Source organism: Homo sapiens, chromosome 9, assembly GCF_000001405.40.
Source record: "Homo sapiens chromosome 9, GRCh38.p14 Primary Assembly".
In the NCBI taxonomy this organism is placed as follows: Eukaryota; Metazoa; Chordata; class Mammalia; order Primates; family Hominidae; genus Homo; species Homo sapiens.
The window spans coordinates 129,602,446-129,608,871 of NC_000009.12; the positions used below are offsets into that span (position 1 = coordinate 129,602,446).

Consider the following 6,426-nt stretch of genomic DNA (forward strand, 5'->3'; position numbering starts at 1 on the left):
GAGCCACTGAGCTGGCCAGGGGTGAGCAACTCTTATTCCTTGTCTGGAGAAGGAGGGAAAGAGAGTGGAGGGAGAGGAAGGACAGGGAGGAGGAGGGAGTCAGAAGAGAAGAAAGCGGGAAGGAGGAGGAGAGAGAGAGGGAAAAACAGAGAGAAGAAGGGGAGAGAGGAGGCAAGCAGCAGGGAGGGAGAGAAGGAAGAGAGGAAGGGGGAAAGGAAAACAGACAGGAAGGAGGGAGGGAGGAAGGAGGGAGGGAGACATGAGGGAGTTAAGGGGGAGGGAGGGAACAAGTGGAGAAAGCAAAGGAGAGAGAAGGGAGGGAGGAAGGAGGGGTAAGAAGGGAGGAAGAAGAAAATTAGGGGGTAGAAGGAAGGGGGCAAGAATGTGGAGGGAGGGGAGAGATGAGGGAGGAAAAGGGAGGAGAGAGGAAAGGAGAGAGGAGGAGGGGGAGAATGAGGGAGGGGAGGAGAGGAGAGGGGAGAGGAAGAGGGAAGGGGGAGGAGGCTGTGCCGAGTGGCAGTCACTGGGGAGGGGTGTCCCCACTGTCTGTCACTTCCCTCATAATGGTATCAGCTCCTCCCCGCTGCTGGCCTTGGGCCAGGGATCTCCGGGTGGTGCCCACCTAATCCTCACAAAAGGACTCGACCTCAGTCACCCAGCTCACCAGACCCCAAGCCTGGGCAGTTCACCTGAGGTCTTCCACCCCAGGCCCTCCCTGGGCCTAACCCACGGGTTGACTCAGGAGCCAGGTGCCATGCGTGTCCATGCGTTCATGCGTGTGCTGTGTGTGTGTGCGCGTGTGTGTGGTTAGGAGTGCAGACCTGGGCAGGACTGACTGGGTCTGGATCCTGGCTTTGCCACTTCCTGGCTGTGTGACCTTGGGTGAGTGACCCAACTTCTCTGTGCCTCAAGTGTGAGGAGTAAATGAGTAAATCAGAGAAATCCCACAGCACAGTGCCTGAAATAGAGTTAGTGTTCAACTTTATCTACTATGATTATTATTCCAAAAAGGCTGACCATGAGATTTCTTTAGGAACGGGCTCTAAACTGGAGGAAAGGGTTTGTGGATGGGTCTCAGAAGGTCCTAGAAGGGCCTAGAACTGGTTGTAAAGTTTTTGTGGTTGAGTGGGGTGTTTTTCTGGACAAAGCAGGTCCTCAGCTTACAGTGTTCTCATGACCCCTCAGGTTGTGTCCCTTGCACCAGGGTGGTGGCACCTCCAGTACTTTGGAGGTTTCATCCCACACAACTTTTTATTGATTGATTTAGTTTTAATTAATGAGTTTATTTTTTAAAGAGATGGGGGGGGGTCTCACTTTGTTGATCAGACTGGTCTCAAATTCCTGGCTTCAAAGCCATCTTCCTGCTTAGCCTCCCGAAGTGCTGGGGTTACAGGTGTGAGCCACACACAGCTTTTGAGGGGCTGTTGTCACCTGCCCCCGGCTAGTCAGGACAGGACCCAAGTTGTCCTGCAGACCTGCCATAGTCGCCCACACATGAGGCCACACATGCTCAGGGAAAGTGAGCCCCTTCACTCAAGAATTCTTTAAAGGCTGAGACAGCAACGCACTTTGTAACTAAACCAGCGCCCTTCTCCAGGATGGGGAGGCGCAAAAGCAGATTTCAAAGGCGAGCTTTGGATAAACAAACACAATAAAAATAATGCTTTGAACCCAAATGCTGAACTGAGCAGCAATCCCAGGCACATTCAGCCAGCTGATGCCAGTCCTCCCTGGCGACCAGACAGGCCCAGGGGGCGTTCCAGGAGCCTCAGTGGTACAGCTGGAGCCTAGGAGACCAAGCACCCACATCAGCCCGGTCCCCCTAGTGAGCCACCTGGCCCCACCCCACCCTCCAGGCCTAGCTGGGACTCCCGCCAGCTCCATCCTGTGGCTCCGTCAGGCTGAGAGGGTCTATTACCCAAACCTCACCTGCTGAAGCTGGGGGCTTCCCCATCTGGTATCAGGGAGATTGTAAGTCTGTGGTGAGGGGCAGTGCCCACCTGGGGAACATGAGCCTGTTCCTGGGGGGCCACTGCAGCTTGGTGAGTTCCAATCCTGGTTCTGCTGTGTGGCCTCAGGACAGTGGCTGCACCTCTCTGAGCCTCATGTGGAACTGGGGATCATCACAGTACCTCCTTGGCTCCCTCCTTGGCAGCCCTTGCAATTAGGGCAGGAGAGAAGCTGTGGGGAGGCCGAGGGGGGGTTGGCGAGCACGCAGAAGGACATGGATTCCACTGCGCCAAGGCCAGGCTCTGCGCCTGGACCACCAGAACACCCACACTTGCTGTGTGACACTCTGGGCTCCGGTTTCTCCATCTATACAATTCAGTGGCCTTGAGAGAGCCTTTTATGATTTCCTGCTTGGACTGTGAAGTGAGAAGCTAAGTGCAGAAGAGTGTGTACAATACAGAATGTATGTGAAATCCACACGAAAATTTGAAAACCACGCAGGCACACGCCTCCTTGTATGTGCACAGAATACCTCTGGGAGGTACACAGGAAACTGGGTTTCCCAGTGGGAGGGACCAGGGCTAGGTGAGAGGCCGGGGGGAGGGGCTTTCTTCCCACTGGTTTCTTGTTTGTGCCTTCCAAATGCTGTACACAAGCATGTTATCTACTCAATACACAGGTGTTTTTTGTTGTTTTTTTTTTGAGGTGGAGTCTCGCTCTGTTGCCCAGGCTGGAGCGTAGTGGCGCAATCTCGGCTCACTGCAACCTCTGCCTCCCGGGTTCACCCCATTCTCCTGCCTCAGCCTCCCGAGTAGCTGGGACTATAGGCGCCTGCCACCATGCCCAGCTAATTTTTTGTATTTTTAGTAGAGACGGGGGTTTCACCGTGTTAGCCAGGATGGTCTCGATCTCCTGACCTTGTGAACTGCCCGCCTCAGCCTCCCAAAGTGCTGGGATTACAGGCATGAGCCACAGCGCCCGGCAGTGTAGGGGTATTTTTAAAGGCCTCTCTGGTTGGGCGCAGTGGCTCACGCCTGTAATCCCAGCACTTTGGGAGGCCGAGGCAGGTGGATCACTTGAAGTCAGGAGTTCAAGACCAGCCTGGCCAACATGGTGAAACCCTGTCTCTACTAAAAATACAAAAATTTCCAGACGTGGTGGCACACACCTGTAATCCCAGCTACTTGGGAGGCTGAGACAGGAGAATCGCTTGAACCCGGAAGGCGGAGGATGCAGTGAGCTGAGATTGCATCACTGCACTCTAGCCTGGGCAACAGTGTGAGACTCCACCTCAAAAAATAACAAGAAACACCTGTCTCAAAAATAAAAATAAAAGTCCTCTCAGAGCTTTGCTGCTCCTGACCTGCCTGATGCTGGCCTAGCTCCCAGGGAGCTGCCCTGAGGGGTCCTGGGGAGCCACGGCAGGGTTTTGGGGTCAGGCAGGACAAAGCTCACTCCTGACTATCATCTCCAGGGAGCTGCCCATCTGACCAGCCTCGCTCCAGCCCCTCGGCCTCTCTGTCTGGCCGATTCTTCCAGGAGACCCTCTGCGACCCTCTCACCAGCCCTCCGCCCAGCCGCAGCTCAGCATCGCCATAATTTAGTGTCTGTGTATGGGGTAGCTACAGTCTGTGGGGCCCAGGGTAAAATGAAAAGCAGGACCCCTCGTGCCTCATGTATTGCAAATTTCAAGATGGCAACCACATAGCATGAAGCCTGTGCAGGGCCCTTCTAAGCCTGGGGCCCTGTGCGCCTGCAGGGGTCACACATCTGTGCAGCTGGCCCCATCTATATCTCCCCAATCCAGACACTGGCTCCCCAGGACAGAGTTTGCCAGGATAGCCAGCCTGGACGCACTGGCTATGGCCCTGCTGGGCTAGTGGAAATCTAGGCCAGCTTCCTGGAGGAAGAAACCTCAGCCTCAGAGGAGGCAGCTGCTCTGTGCTCCCCTGCACAGCTGCCTGAACCTCCCTTTCTTATATGATTTCTTATCTGGAGCTCAGCTGTGTGACCCTGGTCAAGTTACTTAACCTCTCTGTGGGCTGGTTTCTTGATCTGCAGGGATTGGGCCTACTCCCCAGAGATGTGCCCTCCTTCAAGGGGAGGTAAGCTTTAAGCACGGACGTGTTAGAGCAGCATCTGCAAATAGCACTTGCTCGATAGCTTTCGTCCTGATTCCTCTGCGATTTCCTGCTGGACTCTGAGCTTCATGAGGTCAGGGCCCGGGTTCATCTTGCTCTCACGGATTCCTGGCTGCCCTGATTAACATGGCCAGATAATCCACATGACCAGAACAGCTGTGGGCTGTGTTAGAAGTTACTAGAAGTTACTTGTGGCCGGCCTGGGGAGGTGACGTCCCCCAGAGAACATGCTTCGGGTCACTGAGATGGCTGCAAAGTGTATGGACCAGGACGTTCCTGTTGGAAGATTCTTTTGAGGTTTGCTGCGCTCTTCAGCCATCAGAGAAGTCTTCCCAGAGCCAGGCAGGGGGGCTCCCTGGGAGTTTGGGGGCATCACTGAAGCCCCCTCAGCTGCCAGGTGCAGTAAATAAGCCAGGGAAACATTGGTGGGTGAGTCTTTAAGGGTGCCCGGGCTCCATGATGGCAGAGGCAGAGGAGCTGCTCCCGGCTGCCGTGCTTGGGGTCCGAGTCTGACTGGGAGAATTCCAGAGCCCTAGAGACACCTGGCCCAGCCTGGTGAGTCCAATCCCTGCTTCTGGCCTAGACACCATCCAGCATCCAAAGCTGGCTCCGATGGGTCGAAACAGCAGTGAGCATCCCCCTTCTTGGTGCTGTTCATAGGGGAATGTTGAGGCTTGTGGGGCTGCCCGGAGGTGGTGTCACATGTCCCCATGGAAGGGTTTCACTGCCTCCAACAGGAAGGGGCAGACCATCTGTCACTTAGGGTGTATTTGGGAGGGAAGACAGAAGGACCCAGAGAGGCAGAAATGATGGGAAAGGGTGAGGGTGGGCAGGTGGTGGGGGTGGGGTCGAACAAATGGCCCCGATAAAGGCAGAGCAGCTGGAATGAGTGCTGGGCAGCCCCACACGGCTGGGAGCCAGGGTGTGTGGTGTGTGGTGTGGTGTGTGTGTGTGTGTGTGTGTGTGTGTGTGTGTGTGTGTCTATCTTGGCTAGGCGAACACCAGCCCTTCCCTCTGCCTGCTCAACAGCCCTCCCATGTCTGTTTCCTCCCCTGGTCCATGCTGAGAATTGCATCACCAGCCTTCCTGTGGGACCGGAAAGGCAGTAGCAGTCACTTGCCTTTCCCTGTGTGCCTCTGTGTTCTGACCACGCCCCCACCTGGCTGCCGTCAGAAAGCCCAGGTGTCCACCCCATGCCCTGCACAGAGGATTGAGGCCCTACTCTCTGCTCCCAAGGCCTCCCATCCCAGCACTTGTCACTGCATCCTGGAACTGCTCAATTTGAGCAATGCTCCCCATGACTCTAGGCTCCAGGGGCGGGGCTGCCCAGGCAGTTACCCACTCAGGGCCCAGCACGGGTGTGGTACTTGGCTGAGTCTCTTTGGGCTGCTTAACAGATGACCAGAGCCTAGGCAGCTCCGAAGCAATAGAGTGTATTCCTCCCAGGCTGCAGGCTGGCAGTCCGAGATCAGGGTGCTGGCATGGTCAGGTTCCCGTGAGGGCCCTCCTCCGGGTTGCACACTGCTGGCCTCTTGCGGTATCCGCACAAGGAGGAAGGGGCAAGGCCTTTCTGGGACCTCTTTTTCTTTTATTTTATTTCTTTTTTTTTTTTTTTTAGACAAAATCTTGCTCTGTTGCCCAGGCTGGAGTGCAGTGGCATGATCTCGGCTCACTGCAACCTCCGCATCTTGGGTTCAAGTTATTCTCCTGCTTCAGCCTCCCCAGTAGCTAGGATTGCAGGTGCCCACCACCATGCCCAGCTAATTTTTGTATTTTTAGTAGAGATGGGTTTCGCCATGTTGGCCAGGCTGGTCTCAAACTCCTGACCTCAGGTGATCCACCCACCTCGGCCTCCCAAAGTGCTGGGATTACGGGCGTGAGTCACAGCGCCCGGCCTCGGGCCTCTTTTATAAGGGCAGGAATCCCACTTGTGAGGGCTCCACCCTCATGACCTGATCACCCCTCAACGGCCCCACCTCCTCAAACCATCACATCAGACCTGGGGTTCCAGCATATGAATTTTGGGGGGACACGTTCAGTCCATAACAGAGCTGAATGAGCCGCCTGCAGAATGGCAATCGGCCCGTGGGGCAGCTGCCATCCCTGGAGCCCCACTTGGGGCTGGCTTCCCTTGGCCCTGCATCTACAGGGCTCCCTAGCTCCTGGCTCCCTCCTCTCCCTCCCACCAGGCTCCTGCCTGGAGCCAGCGCCCTCTTCCCCACTCCAGTCGTGGGTCCTGCCCACCAGCCTTGAGGCTTCCAGCTCCTTCCGGACCCTGTGCACCTGCCCAGTTCCACCCTCTCCAAATAAACGCCTCTCCTTCCTTGACCTTGCC

At 55.9% G+C, this 6,426-nt stretch overlaps 3 annotated features.

Annotated features, from left to right (window-relative positions):
• Positions 574–693: an enhancer, noted in NCBI's record as "active region_29115". NCBI's record gives its function as "activates an Ori minimal core promoter by ATAC-STARR-seq in GM12878 lymphoblastoid cells {active_cell/tissue: GM12878}" and the evidence as "EXISTENCE:reporter gene assay evidence [ECO:0000049][PMID:35858748]".
• Positions 1,851–2,350: an enhancer, noted in NCBI's record as "H3K4me1 hESC enhancer chr9:132366575-132367074 (GRCh37/hg19 assembly coordinates)". NCBI's record gives its function as "activates a minimal SCP1, AML or CMV promoter by ChIP-STARR-seq in naive H9 embryonic stem cells {active_cell/tissue: H9 hESC(naive)}" and the evidence as "EXISTENCE:reporter gene assay evidence [ECO:0000049][PMID:30033119]".
• Positions 4,437–5,074: an enhancer, noted in NCBI's record as "H3K4me1 hESC enhancer chr9:132369161-132369798 (GRCh37/hg19 assembly coordinates)". NCBI's record gives its function as "activates a minimal SCP1, AML or CMV promoter by ChIP-STARR-seq in naive H9 embryonic stem cells {active_cell/tissue: H9 hESC(naive)}" and the evidence as "EXISTENCE:reporter gene assay evidence [ECO:0000049][PMID:30033119]".